Source organism: Homo sapiens, chromosome 5 (assembly GCF_000001405.40).
Source record: "Homo sapiens chromosome 5, GRCh38.p14 Primary Assembly".
Lineage (NCBI taxonomy): Eukaryota > Metazoa > Chordata > Mammalia > Primates > Hominidae > Homo > Homo sapiens.
In genome coordinates, this window is record NC_000005.10 from 38598391 (window position 1) to 38614010 (window position 15620).

Here is a 15620-nt window from a genome sequence, read left to right on the forward strand (position 1 = left end):
CATGCACCACCATGCCTGGCTAATTTTTGTATTTTTGTAGAGATGACGTTTCACCATGTTGGTCAGGCTGGTCTTAAACTCCTGACCTTAGGTGATCCGCCTGCCTCGGCCTCCCAAAAGGCACACTTTCAATCTGGCTCCTGCCACATTCTACCTAACATTCCTAGTGTCAGCCATAGTGAATCACTGATAGCTGTTCCCAACCCACTGAGCTTTTTCTCTGCAGGCCTGCATCACCCGCTCCTGCCCCTTCCCCTGACACCCCTCAAGTGGCTAACTGCTACTCCTTCTCAGCTCCTCCACGAGGTCTGCCCTAACTTCCTCAACACTGGGCTGCTTACCCCTTTTCTGCACTTCCCCTAGCATAGGATGTATCTTACTCCTATTGTAGCATTGTTCCCACTTTGCTATAATAATTTACTTCCTTGTCCGTAAGGAACTCTTAGGCAGGCTTCTATGCCTAGCACAATGCCTGGTGCATACTGAAACCTCAATAAATATTGGTTAAAACCATAAGATAATTTGCACTCATTATCTCCTTTCATCCACTTAACCTCCTTTGAGATAGCTATGATTATCCTTATCTTGTAGAAAAGTGCATGGATTTCTCAGTTGAGGAATGGGTATAACCTTCTTCTATGCCCTCTTCTGGGTCCTAAACCTTATCTAGACCTATGGCCAGAAAAGAGAATGAGCAGGCTTCCCCCAGGAGCTGTTACCAGTAGAAAGAGCATAACTTAGAAATGAGTCACAGAAAAAACAAAGAGTAAAGACAGAAAGTGAGTCAGGGATAAGGGTTTTATAAATACAAGTGTTTCCCATTCTGACATCTATAGGATAAACCAAAGGCAGCACCTAGCTCTCCAGGAAACAGTTTGAAACCCATTGCCTTAAAGTCCTAGAGCTAAGATATGCATTTTCAATAGAGTGACCCCAAACTGGACTTTCTGGCACCATTACTGAAAGGGTCACTGGCTCAGTTACAGAATCCACAGGGTATGATAATAGTTGAGATGGAAGTCCTCAGGGTGCAGTTTGAAGCATAGACCTTGAGAACCTGGAGATCAGCGGGAAGGTCAGGACCCAAGGCACAGTTCAGGAGTCATCATTAGTACATAGGGCCTATGTTACAGGTGGTCTTTGAAGCTGTGAGAGTGAATGAAATTAGAGAGGGATAAAAGTGTGGAGTGGAAACACGGCTGAGTATGGAAAGTGCCAAATAATCTCCCACTGTCTTGCATTTTCAGTTACTTTTTTAATCTATAGCTTATCTTCTCAATTAGTTTACAGACTCCTTGGTGTTGGGGACAGCTTTAGGTACTTTAAAAAATTTTAAAGATGCTTAAGAATTTAATTAACAAATTAATTAAACCTTTTCCCTCCATCATTAAACTTCTGGAAATAGCTGTAAACCAAAAATAAAATTCTAAACCTTCTGACCATGTGAATGGCCTCATCCTCTCAGTAAGGGCATTCCAAAGTTAACCTGAAAAACTAGTTCAGGCCATGATGGGAAGGGAGGGTCAGACATGCCTCATTGTACCTTCCTCCCTTTTAGAAATACTGATAGAACAGACTCTTTAAGTCTGATAAGAAACATTTTTACAATCTATTCTCTCTGAAGCTTGCTACCTGGGGGCTTCATCTGTATGATAAAACCTTGGTCTCCACAATCCCTTATCTTAACCCAGACATTCCTAAGTCTTTAGACAATAACTTAACTCTTTCAACCAATTGCCAATCAGAAAATCTTCTAATCTACCTATGACCTGGAAACCCCCTGCTTCCAGTTGTCCCACCTTTCCAGACTGAACCAGTGTACATCTTACATGTGTTTGATTGATGTTTCATGCTTCCCTAAAATGTATGAAACCAAGCTGTACCCCAAGCACCTTGGACACATATTCTCAGGATCTTCTGAGGGCTGTATCTTGGGCCATTGGTCACTCATATTTGGCTCAGAATAAATCTCTTCAAATACTCTACAGAGTTTGACTCTTTGTCACCACAGCTTTCCTTTTGTCTTTACTTCCTTTAGTTTTAACTATTTGGGTTCTGCCAGCATCACAGGACTGAAATGTCTCTTTGGCAAGTTGCCTATAACTTCTGCATTGCCAAATCTACTGGCCTGTTCTCAAGTCACCTTCCGCAATCTCTGTAGCAATCAGCACTACTAGTTCCTCTCATTCACTGAACAGTTGCCATCCCTGTCTTTCATATCACTGTGTTCTCTTGGTTCTTTCTCAGACTTCTTTGCTGAATATTACTTTCAGCCTCCCTTCCTGGCTCCTTTTCCTCTCTTGGTCCCCTAAAAGAAGATTATTGTTCAAATTTCTCCTTGTCCCTCTCCTCTATTTTTTCAGGTTCTACCTTGACAGTCTCATCCATGGTCTCAGCTGTGGCTTCTAGGATGATGACTCAAGCCCTGATGTCTTTCCTGATCATTTTGGGCCTGATTCTCTGGAACTGCGGGAGGAAGCTGAATGCTGGTCCACCTTTTAACAATGTGGCCAGCAGCCCTGGGTTGATACTGGAAGCAAACATTAGTCTGGTAAACTACACAAGGACAAAGGTAGAACAGGACACACAGGGGTAACACTGACCTTAGAGGGGTGTTATGGACTGAATATTTGTGTTCTGCTCAAAATTCGTATGTTGAAACATATGTCTATCTCATGATTTCGCTCCCCTCTAATGTAATGGTAGTAGAAAGTGGGGTCTTTGGAAGGTATTTAGGATTAGACGAGGTTACAAGATGGAGCCTTCATGCATGGGATTAGTGTCCTTAAAGAGAGTCCTGAGAGAGCTTGCTTCCTCTTTCTGCCACGTGAGGACACAGGGAGAATACTGCTGTCTATGAACCAGAAAATAAGCCCTCTCTAGACACCTTATCTGCTGACACCTTGATCTTGGCCTTCCCAGCCTCTAGAACTGTGAGAAATAAAATGTCTGTTGCTTAAGCCACCCAGTCTGTGGTGTCTGGTTATAGCAGCCTGAGCTGACTACAACAAGGGACAGTCAGCCAGGACACAAACTTGAAGGACTGGAGCAAAGATGGGAAGAGAAAGAGATGCCAGGTGCAGGTGGGTCTGCTGTCAGTTCAGGATTTCTCTCCTGGACCCTGAGTTCCCGCCATGGCATAGCTCTTACCTGGATTTGTGTACTACTTATAGGGTCACGAACAGTACATCTGTACTGATTTCCAGACCACATTTCCATGAGGCCTTGCCAGATCCTTCCACTGGGACCTCCTGGCTCCTTCCTCCAAGCTCACTTGACTTTTGTTCTCCAGGGTTCTGCACTTGGCTCACATCTTTGCGTTTCCTTTTTCACTTTGCTGGGTGATCTCATCCACTCCCATGGCTTGAGATACTATTTTTAGGCTGGCAACTCCCAAATATGTATCTCTAGCCTAAACTCCAGACCTGTAAGTCTACCTATAAATTAAATAAGAACCTAAAAATCAATATACCCCCAACTGAAGCTATTCTCTTCTCCCCAAGCTGACTCTGTTCTGTCTCCTGTGTTCTCACTGCTGGATAATAACACCAATGTCCATCCAAGCTAGAAACCACCGCATCATCCTTGACTCATCAACCTTTCTCCGTGTGTGAGTCAATTTGCCTCTTAATCATCTGTCAATTTATTCACACTTTTCCTTCTCCATTGCCAATTTCTTGGCGGCTCTTTATCATTTTTCACCTGGATATTCCAGTCGTTTATCAACCAGTCACTTGTGTCCAGTTTCACAACCTCCCAATCAGTCCTCCAATGCCATTATACAATTTTCTTTAGAGTAGGAAGCTGATGATGTTACTCCATAGTTCAGTGACTTCTCATTGTCTCCTACCAGATAAAATCTAGACACAATTCTTGACATATACTCCTCTTTCTCTATGTAGGCTTATTTACAGACATTTTCCTAGTAGTACTTCATACCTTTGGTACAAATAGTGTTAGTCTCCATAATTGACCATGCTGTTTCACAATTCCACACCCTTGCACATGTGTGCTCACTACCTGGAATGCCCCTTCCCTTTATTCTGGTGGATTAAGTCGTTCAAGCCCCAGTCCCTCCATCATCTTCTCTTTGAGGCCTTCTCTTTTCTTTTTTTTTTCTCCATCTCTTCTTCTTTTACATCCATTGTATATACCTGTTTTCCAGCATTAGCGGGCTAAATTCTAATTCCTTGTTTAGGTTTTTATCTTGCCGTCTAAATTCTGAGTTCTTCAAGGACAGGGGCCTTATCTCATGATTTCACTCCCCTCTGCAGCTAGCACAATGCTTCTAAAACTGTATTCCTTGGATTGCTAGTCTTATTGTTACAGGTAGTTAGACAGGCAAGAGTGGAGCAGGAAAAGGATCTTCTTCCCCCACCCACTAGGAATGTCAGATGATGGTTCGACAATTATCACACTGACTCTCTCAGGAAGAGACAAGCTCCTGCTGATCCACAGCTGTTAACATTACAGTGTTAATTGCATGCAGACACCTGGGAAAAACAACTTCCTGGGAATACGCATTAAAAGACAAAATGGAGTATGACCTTCCAGGGGCACACCACTGGAGAAGGGAAGAGAGCCTCAGACGTGCATGCTTACAACTTCCTAAACATACTGCGCACGCTTAATTCCCAAGGGTAAGGCAGGCACTGTGCACGCGGGCCGCCCACCCGAAGGAAAGAATCACCCTAAGGGAAAAGGGTACAAGATGGCAGCCTATAAAGTCCCAGGGTCAAGGTTAAACACTGCACTTGTTCTCCAAGGCACCCACTGGATCTCTTCCACGTGTTCTTTCCTTTCTTTCCTCTTCTAAAGCATTTTTAATAAACTTCCACTTCTACTTTGAAACTTGCCTTGGTCTCTTTTCTTGCCTTATGCCCCTCAGTTGAATTCTTTCTTCTGAAGAGGCAAGAATTGAGGTTGCTGTAGACCTGTACGGATTTGCCGCTGGTAACTGAGATACCTTCCACCAGTCACACTATGAGTTATTTTAAAAGGTATTCTTGAAATGAGAATCTGTGGTCAAATAAATTTTGGAAAAACTGCATATTCACATTACCTGTGAGCTCAGAGAAGTCTTTCAGCAGAAACCTGTTTAATCTGGTTTAACTCTGTCCCTTCCAAACCCAAGGTCAGGGAAAGACCCTTAAGCAGATCCTTACAACGTATGTGCAAGAAGCAAAGGTAGAGATGCGCCCAGACAAAGGGTGATGTGGGAAAACAGAGAAGGGGCTGCCCCAGGGTCCAGGGGTTCTGGAAGCATTTTTGGAAAAAAATGATCTCCATCACTCACAAGAAGATAATGGCCAATTTAACCCTCAGAAAGAAAACTTCCTAGTTTTCTAATGTCTCCAGGGACTAAACTTCAGGATTGAATGTAACTATCCAAGGGTTTTATTACCCAGGAAGGTCAAGTCTTCAGGATGTTTTCTTCTCTTATTCATTCCTGTGGTCAGACTCAACTTTGAACTGGTCTACTCCACAGATGAACCACATCCTTCAACTCACTTAACAGCATCTATTATCCTATTGTTGCTTATATTTTTCTGGTTATGTCCTAATGATCTCCAGCCACAATACCGGAGGGCAGCCACTGGTCATTTACGCTGTCATCTCATGGACTCTAAGAGGCCCAAGCACATAGTGAGACTCAACAAATGTTTATTAAATGCAGTGAACACGAGCATAATCTAATTCTTCCTATTTGCCTTGAGGTGGCAGAGATGCAAATGTGGTGACCCAGAGCCTGAACTTGGGCACTTGGAGCTCATGTGGAGCATTTTCTGCAGTGGCTGAGGCTGAGCTGGGCAGAACTTTTCTTCGCTGCCTCTATCTAGAAGAAAGGAAATTAACTAGTCCTACTGAACTCCCAGACCTGTGGAGAGGAGAAAGGGGCAAGGCAGCAGAAAGGGGCAAGGCAGCGTCTCTGACTTGGATATCCAGCACATTCCCCCAGAGACAGCCATTTGTTTTGTAAACCAAAGGGTGTCTGAGACAAGTCTCAATCAATTTAGAAAGCTTATTTTGCCAAGGCTGGGAGTGGTGGATCACACCTGTAATCCCAACATTTTGGAAAGCTGAGTTGGGCGGATCACCTGAGGTCAGGAGTTTGAGACCAGCCTGGCCAACATAGTGAAACCCCATCTCTACTAAAAATACAAAAATTAGCTGGTGGTGGGCACCTGTAATCTCAGCTACCCGGGAGGCTGAAGCAGGAGAATTCCTTGAACCTGGGAGGCGGAGGTTGCAGTGAGCCGAGATTGCGCCGTTGCACTCCAGCCTGGGCGACAGGGCAAGACTCTGTCTCAAAAAAAAAAACAAAACAAAAAACAAGTTTATTTTGCTAAGATGAAGGACACCCCATGGCACAGCCCCAGGAGGTGCTGACAACATGTGCGTAAGGTGGTCGGTGTACAGCTTGCTTTTATACATTTTAGGGAGACAGGAGACATCACTCAATACATGTAAGATTTACATTGCTTTGATCTGGAAGGGCAAGACAACTCAAAGGGAGAGGGGCAGCTTCCAGGTCATAGGTAAATTTAAGCGTATTCTGACTGGTGATTGGTTGAAAGAGTTACTCTCAGTATTATTATCAGTAGAAAGGAATGTCTGGGTTATGATAAGGGGTTGTGGAGACCAAGGTTTTATCATGCAGATGAAGCCTTCAAGTAACAGGCCTCCGAGAGAATAGACTATAAAGGTTTCTTGTCAGACTTCAGGTTTGTGTTGATACTAATACTGGAGGGGTACAATGAGGCACGTCTGGCCTCCACTTTACATCATGGCCTGAACTTGTCTTTCAGCTTAAATTTTAGAGGGCCCTGAGGGGTGAGTTTTATTTTTGGTTTGCAGTTTTACGGACACTGGGCTATATTTCCCATTTTGCATAGAGGCAGGCACCACATAGAGACTAAGAGCAAGCACTGTGTTCAATGTACGGACTGGAATCCTTGCTTCACTACTTGCTCGCTTTGTGATTCTAGGCAAATTTCTTGACCTCTCTGTGCCTAAGTTTTCTCATCTGTAAAATGGGGGGTGATAATCACAGTACCCCTTCCTCCTAGGATTCTTATGAAAATTAAATGAGTTGCTATTCATGTAGAATTTAGAAGCAAGTGCTATTTAAGTGTGTGAAAGGAAAATAAATTTTGGGACCCCCAAATCACAAAGCCAAAGGGAAAAGCCAAGCTGGGAACTGCTTAGAGCAAACCTGCCTCTCGTTCTATTCCTAAAAAAAGATACCTGCTAAGATAAAAAAAGCTACATACCTTCCTCACAGGGAAATTCCCTGTGGACAAAGGACAGACAGAACTCAAAGTCACCCCTCTGCTCATGGAGGTAAATGCATAGCTGATTGTTTCCTTTGGAAAGGCTAATCAGAAATTCCAAAGATTGCAACCATTTGTCTCTTACCAACCCATGACCTGGAATCCCTCTCCTCGCTTGGAGTTGTCCCGCCTTTCCAGACAGAACCAATGTACATGTTACGTATATTGATTGATGTCTCATGTCTTCCTAAAATGTATAAAACCCAGATGTGCCCCGACCACCTCGTCGTCAGGACCTCCTGAGGAAGTGTCATGGGTATGTGTCCTTAATTCTGGCAAAATAAACTTCCTAAATTGACTGAGACCTGTCTCAGATAGTTGGGGTTCACAAGTGTTTGTGAAATCACTCAATCAATGTTAGTTGCTATGTTGGGGCAGATCTAGAATAAGACCATGGATAATGTGTGAGGCCGTTCTTGCATTGCTATGAAGAAATGCCTGTGATGGGAATTTATAAGAAGAGAGGTTTAATTGGCTCACCATAGCTCTGCAGGCTGTACAGAAAACAGTGTCAGCATTTGCTCGGCTTCAGGAGGCCTCAGGGAGCTTTTACTCATGGCAGAAGATGAAACAGGGGCAGGCCTATCACATGGAGAAAGCAGGACAGAGAGAAAGAGAGAGAGTGAGAAAGAGAGAGACAGAGAGACGGTTCCACACACTTTTAAATTACCAGATCTAGCCAGGAACCCATCACAAAGACAGCACCAAGCCATGACCCAAACACCTCCCACCAGGCCCCACCTCCAGCATTAGGGATTATAATTCAACAGGAGATTTGGATGGGGTCAAATATTCAAACTCTGTCAGATAATTACCTGCGAGCACAAATTATCTATATTGCCGGCACCTACTGTTTAAAAATAGTAATAAGAGCTGCTGCTTTCACATCTGATTCCATCCTAAACATTAACTAGAAGGTGGGCATTATTTCCATGTTTTATTGAGTAAACAGGCTCAGAGGTTAACATGCTCAGTGCTGCACAGTTGCATATTAGGTGGCAGAGCCAGGTTCCAAATTCATGCCTGTCCCACTGCCAAGCCCAATACCTTTCCATCAAGGACACTTTCTTTTTTTTCCCCCATGGGGAAAGTTTGGTTTAGAGGCAACCCAGTACATCCCCATGACTTACTTGTTGGCAAGTGGTTCATAAACCACTTACATCACACAATTCATATCATATCCAACCTGTGTGTTCAGAATTAATTAGTATTTATTATAAAAGTTAAACTGATATGCAACATTTGTTTTTAAACAAAAAAAAATTAATAGCAAGTCTCTTTCCTTCTTCACCTTTTCCATCCCCACTAGTTCCTAAAGTCTTAGGGAACATCAAAAATCATCTGTTCATTTGTAAACATATTTTTTAAAAATAGTATTTAGAAATGAGATTATACACTGTTTGGTATCTTCTTTGGATTATTTAACATTTATCTAAGCTATTTTAAATCCAAGCACTCATTCTTAGAATCGTCTTATATTTGTTGGGATGTTTTGGTTGAAAGTCTACTGATGGCACTTACAGCTCAGGGTCACAGCCTGTATGTATAACCAGAGCCTGTGGGCTCATTGTGCCTCGCATTTTCATCTAAGAAAGGTCCTTATCATATTCTATGTGCATCAGATACCTCCTCAGATCAGAGCAGGGGTCTGTGGCTAGAATTATAAAATCTTTTTTGTCTATCTGGGCTTTTTCAAAACAAAGCCTTCAATATTCAACATAGCTCTCAAACTCCCATCTTCACTCCCAGCCTTCTGTTTTGCTCTCTCTCTCACTCTCTCTCATATGCACTCTCTCTCTCTCTCTCTCTCTCTGTCATTCACAAGCTTTCCTTTCTCGAACCCTATTGAAAATTACCATGCATTCCTCCTTCTAGCAGAATAGAACGTCTTGCACAAGAGGAGTGGAACAGCGGTCAGAGCATTACAGCTGACTCATCTTGACCAGAGAAGGTTACAGCTGGAGGCCCCAGAGATTGCCCACTTCCCCCCTCCATTTGACAGCAAGGGAAACAATGGCCAGAGAGGATCTGGAACTTTCTCTCAATTTCAGTGAAGGCCAGAGGTAAAATCAGGATTGTCTGAAGACAAGTAAGGTCAGGTGCATAGGGTTATATGTAGGAGTATAGTTAACAGGTGTCAGAAACTTGGATTTAATTTAGAGGTGGTTAGGACATGCATAATATTTTTCAACTATGCGTGAAATCTGGGATTCTGCATTTATTTAAAATATAGGATTGTCCATTAATTCTTTCTCTTGAGAGGGCGCTTCTTTCAGAAATGATCTAGGCACTTACAAACATTTTAAAAATATATACACGTGAGATCATACTTTCATAGTGATATAAGCATCATTGCTCATATCCCTAATGAACAGATGGGGAAAAGGAGGTAGAGACAGAGAGAGAGACAGAGAGTCAGCAACTCACCACAAGAATCTCCTGGTTGCCTGTCTGGGCTTCTGTCAGCTCCATTTAGTTGAATTTCTATTCAATATTATTACTGAGGTCTTATACTTAAGAACATGTTCTTTGGGTTTCCTGCTTATCTCCAAGCTGAAGAATTTATTTTCTTCTATTTGCTTTTCCAATCTTCAGCTTCCATGACCTTAAAAAAAAAAGTACACAAACTGAGCTGGTCTAAGAGCAGCCTGTTTGCAACCTGATATGAGACCTGGAATGCAACCAGATAAACCTTGGTGTAGGGTTCTCTAAACACATTCAACATTTTTTCCAAGAGGCAATCGGTTTATTTCCTTTGAAATGCTTGATGATGAATTAACAGTACATTTTCGAAACTATTGAAAGAGCAGAGGTAAAATGGTAGTTATACATGTCGGAATGGGAAATAGAGAACTATGGAATTTATCTTACTTTGAAGCTTAAACCCCTTTTAATATTCCTTGTATTTAGCCACATGTATTTTTAAGGTGGAAATTAGTTAATGGAATATTCTCATAGTCCATACTTTTTATTAAGGTTGATGTTTGATGAACCAGATAATGTCTACTCACTTTCTGCTTTAAAGTTTATAATTCTTGATAAAAGGAAAAGTGGTGAATTATGTGAGCCAACCCTGGAAAGTATTTCCGTATTGAGTTTTGTTTGTTTCAAAGAACCTACTGTACATATGCAAAAAAATATGTCTTATCAATTGTTTTACCAAAGCCATGAGTCCCCTTGTCAGTGTAGACAGAATCAGTTGTCTTTCTGTATGAGAATATCATGGAAAAGCACAGATGTAACAAGCGTTCCTTCCAAACCTAAGTGGTAGAATTATGTGACTTAAACTGTGGAGTCAGGACTAATCTCACAGGCTTTCAAAATTGCTCCCTCTTATCTCTTTAACCTCCCTTTCCTCTTTTATCTAAGGAGGGAGAGTGAAATAAGTAAATAATCCTGGATTTGTGAGAGTGGAAGGAAAGGTATTATGACTTTTAAGGTCCTATTTTAATACCTTTGACTAATGAGACATTAATTACAGTGTTGAATAAATCTTGAGATGATTTCAAAGCAAAGCCTGCTCTTTTTTCCTTCCACTGATTTAATATCTAGGGAGTTCCATCCTATGAAGGGCAGTTTCTTCTCATTAGCTATCTTCAACAGTCCGGGCCAAATAGGACATTTGAGTCCTTTTAAAGCGGCCTTCAAGTCCCCTCTCAGCCCTTTTAAATGCTGCCTTGTCAGTTCATGTCCAGCAGCCCTAAGCAGAGTTCAGTCAACATCTTCCCTCTCCTCCAAGTCTTTGCAAATGCTCTTCTCCTCCTGGCTGCCTGGCATTGCTGCTTAACCCAGAGACTTAAAGTCTCTCCCACTGCCCGCTTGCTGAGCCACAGTCACAATCATGACCTTCAGAGTTTCTCTTGCTGCCTGGGCCCAAACTGCCATCTCCACCAATGTCTTCACCAGCACCACCATCCTTGCCGCCTGTTGCCAATACTCACAAAAGCCACAGCCTAACAGTCACCACTAAATTCTTCATCAGAGCTTCTGCTGTTAGCTCTAGGACAACGGTTCTCACCCAGGGGCCATTTTCTACCCACTCCCCTCAGTCCCAGGGAACATTTGGCAACGTCTGTACACATTTTTTCGTTGTCACAACTTGGGGAGGTGAATGCCACTGGCATCCAGTGTGTCAAAGGCAAGAAAGCTGCTTAAGAATTTACAATACACAGGAGGACCTCCATAACAAAGGCTTACCCAGCCCCAGATGTCAACAGTGCTGAGGTGGAAAACCTTGCTCTAGGAGTTAGTGGAGGCCTTTATTCTCTTTCTGTACCTTTGGCAAAAAAACAAAGATAGAAGAAAACAAAACACAATCTGTCCTCCAGGCACACAGCTAGAACCCTCTGTTCTCTTCCCTACTTCTCAGTTTAGGATTGGAGAGAAAACAAGTGGGATTTTGTAGAACCTGCCTTTTCATTTATGGCGTGGGTCCTCCCTCATCTGGGCAGAGGCTGGGACAGACAGGCTCTGTCTGAACAGAAGAACCCATTTACGCCAGAGGTTCTCAACACTGGCTGCACATTAGATTCATAACATCTAACATTTTAAAAATACTGAAAATACAGATATTCAGAATTCAAATGGAATTGGCCTGTGATGAGGCCTGGGTGATACCTTTTAAAAACTCTCTGGGCTGGGCACAGTGGCTCACCCCTGTCATCCCTGCCCTTTGGGAGGCTGAGTGGGGCGGATCACTAGAGGCCAGGAGTTTGAGACCAACCTGGCCACCATGGTGAAACCCTGTCTCTCCTAATAATACAAAAATTAGCCGGGCATGGTGGCATGCTCTTCTAGTCCCAGCTACTTGGAAGGCTGAGGCACAAGAATTGCTTGAACCCGGAAGGTGGAGGTTGCAGTGAGCCAAGATTGTGCCACTGCACTCTAGCCTGGGCAACAGAGTCAAAATGTGTCTCAAACAAAACAAAACACTCTCTAGATCATACTGACACGCAGCCAGAGCTAATAACCCCTTGGACCGGTCACCCACGCAGCGGGGAAGAGAACAGATACCCCTGAAGAACTGAATGAAGTTATTCTTCCAGGATCTTTTTAGTGCTAAAAAACATCTCATCTTCCAGTAGGAGGGAAGTCATTTAACTGTGTGGTCAGCATGGGTCATCTGGGCAGATACAGATTATTTCAGATTATTTGATGTTCTTAACTGGAGTCTTTCTATGGCTTGAATTGAAGCTTATTTTTAATAATAAAAAAGTTTTAATATTTATCAAAATCAGGAAAAGAGGGTAAATTAGATTAAAAGCCATCCTCATAATTAAGCACTCTATGCTAGCTATTTATTTGTCTTAGAAAAAAATGATTCTTTCCTCTTTTAGAAAGATACAATAATTCTAAATTAAAGCTTCGAGATAAATTATGACTTATGAAGAATAATGGGATAGTATCATAAATAAAAAACATTGTCTGCATGAAATATGACCACTCTAATTCTGTACATTTCCTCCCCATTTCAATACAATGAAGTTTTTACAAGGCAAATTAATCTAGCATTAACCTTGAAATGATTACCCTACCTTACTGATGAAACTGATAAAACAAAAATACTTTTAATGCTAAAGAATCTTGTTAAATTCTCTATAACTTAAGCAAACTATATCTAATTTCTCTTTTTTTTCCCCCATTCTTTAGCCACACACTTAGCATTCTGTAGCAAAATAATCACTGGACCCCAAGTGAGAAGCCTGAGTTCTGGTTCAGGCCATAGAACTGCTTTATAAAGTCAATTAACTTTGCTGGGCTGCTTCTTCATCAGTAAAGTAAAGGCATCACCAGGTGATATATAAGATCGCCTCCATGTTTAGGAATTAGTAGGAAGGCAGATTATTGGTTTGACAACCCTCAATCAAATGAAATGCCTGGTTTTCTGTCCTGGCATATAGTGTAGGAACACGTTATATGTAAAATATGGTATATATGCACATATATAACATACACACACACATATGTATATATAAAAATTAACATATATGTTATGTATATATAAATTAACATATATGTGTTTATATAATATATAACAACATATATAATATATATGATATATATATAAATTAACATTTACTGAGCACTCTGCTAAAGAAATAAGGTAGTGCTATGGAGAATTCAAAGAATTAGCAATTATATCCCTAAGGTTTTACTATAAAAATTATAATTTAGGCCGGGCACGGTGGCTCATGCCTGTAATCCCAGCACTTCGGGAGGCTGAGGTGGGCGGATCACTTGAGGTCAGGAGTTCGAGACCAGTCTGACCAACATGGTGAAACTCCATCTCTACTAAAAAAATACAAAATTAGCCCAGCGTGGTGGTGCCCTCCTGTAATCCCAGCTACTCAGGAGGCTGAGGCAGGAGAACTGCTTGAACCCAGGAGGTGGAGGTTGCAGTGAGCCGGGATCGTACCATTGCACTCCAGTGTGGGCAACAAGAGTGAAACTCTCTCAGAAAAAAAAAAAAAAAAAAAAAAAAAAAATATATATATATATATATATATATATAATTTAGTTGGGGATATAAACAGTCACATCAGATAAAAGTATTCAGAATTTCCAGTTGATATTTAATAAAATCAATCAACATTTATTGGATACCTACTGAATGATACCTACCTGATAAGTATCACAAATAACAGTGCTGATTTGTTTAGAATAAAGCTGGGACTTTTTCCTTCCTTTAAGTAAACTATGGTAACACATTACATTAAAACTTCAGTTAATGGTATATTTGTAATGTTATACTTCTAAAGAAGGCCTCTAAATTACATAGGCTCCGGCCTCACAAAACCTGGTTTTGCTCCTGATGGGGCAAACTAGGGAATAGAGCATGGAAGCAAAACCCACCAATGGCCTGGTGTCCCTAAGTTTGCATTTTGGCTGCTGTTGGGATCACTATACTATATCTGTGTTGGGTCAAGTGGGCAGTCATATTCTTTTCAGAAAAGCTTTCATTGTTCAAAGCTACATCTTGACCAATACACATGCACCTTAACCAGAAGCATGGTGAAACCCTGGGCAGTACATGGATAACATCGAGGTCAAGGCTAGGAACATGGAGTTTTGCCATGGGCACCACTCTGACCAGCAGAACACCTTGTGGGCAACGGGCTGAATGACCTAGCCAACCAAGAGAACATCTGGTAGACCCAAAAAGTTTGAAAAAGGGGAGAAAGAGTAAAAAAAGAGAGGCAGAACAGCTGCATAATTTGGAGGGTCCACTACAAAATAAAAATGTGGACCTATTGTTGAAAAAAATGTTAAGAATTTTTGGTAATGACAGCAGAGCATAAAGCCATGAGTGAGACCCTGGGAAGCATGAAACCCTGTTGAGTCACACATCTGTGAAGTCAGCCCTGAAGACAGCAAAAATCTTAGAAGGGTGCTCACATTATTGGGCATGTACTATATGCTGGACACAGTGCAAAAACACATTCACAATTCATGTTATTTTCAAAACAACTATGGGAGAGAAATATCAACATTTCATGGATGAGCAGAACTCTCAAAAAGGTTAAGCTATTTGCACAAAGACATATAGGTAGTATGTTTGTGTGCACTGAAGTGGAGGAGGAAGAGGACAGAGAGGGAAGGGACCCAAAGTCATTGCCCAAGTAATGGTTAGAACCAGGAACATTTGGGCGTCTGTCATTAAGATCATTTAACAGAGCCAAGATGTCAACATGGTTTGATTGCCGTTGTGAACGACAATTGAGGCAGTGAATAGGAAATTAAAAACACCATTGTCTTTTACTATTTCTTTGAACCATTTATCCCTGTGCTGCTGCAGGGAGGTTGTCATTCCAACAAAAGCAGACACATTTGGAAGCTTCTAGATGCTCAGCTTTTATATTTAGTTACTCTGGTTGGCTCAGGGTTAAATGACTACTGCTTTATTTGCAACTTATTTATATTAAAGGTGAAATGTCAGGTTCACACAGGGTAAAATAAAGGACTCTCTATAAACATGCAAACAAATGCAAGTGTTCGCTGCCAAAAATATCCAAACAAACCAAACCAGAGAAGAGAAATGTCGCCTCAGCCCAAATTGTAGCGCTCTTCCACATGACCTCTTCAGTAGATGAAAGGAAATCCTGAAATTCAAGACCAAGCTCAATCAAATGCTAATTTAATGTTGTTCCCTAGTAGATACCAAGTCAAGGGAGATTTGCCACTTATCTGGCTAATTTGAGCTCTGGGACACCCAGGGTAGAAACCGAGGCAAAATAAATCTAATAAGGGATTGGAATATTTTGGTACTTTGCCAACCGTCTTCAGAGT

General features: G+C 41.7%; 1 protein-coding gene and 1 long non-coding RNA gene across 3 annotated transcripts in view; one reads left to right on the forward strand and one right to left on the reverse strand.

Moving 5' to 3' along the window:
• LIFR (LIF receptor subunit alpha) overlaps positions 1 to 10013 on the reverse strand; it is a 133736-nt gene extending 123723 nt beyond the window's left edge. The window contains exons 1-2 of the mRNA XM_017009463.2: positions 9762 to 10013; positions 7815 to 7916 (exon numbers count right to left, since the gene is read on the reverse strand). The gene's annotated coding sequence lies outside the window, so the exon portion shown is untranslated. The remainder of the gene's footprint in view (positions 1 to 7814; positions 7917 to 9761) is intronic.
• The window catches only part of LIFR-AS1 (LIFR antisense RNA 1), a 114431-nt gene that overhangs the window by 41605 nt on the left and 57206 nt on the right, over positions 1 to 15620 (forward strand). The window contains exon 3 of one of the 2 annotated variants that reach the window (NR_103553.1): positions 9210 to 10472. The exons of the other annotated variant lie outside the window; for it this stretch is intronic. This is a non-coding gene — a long non-coding RNA (LIFR antisense RNA 1). Of the gene's footprint in view, positions 1 to 9209; positions 10473 to 15620 lie in introns of those variants that run through there. 2 annotated transcript variants of the gene reach the window in all.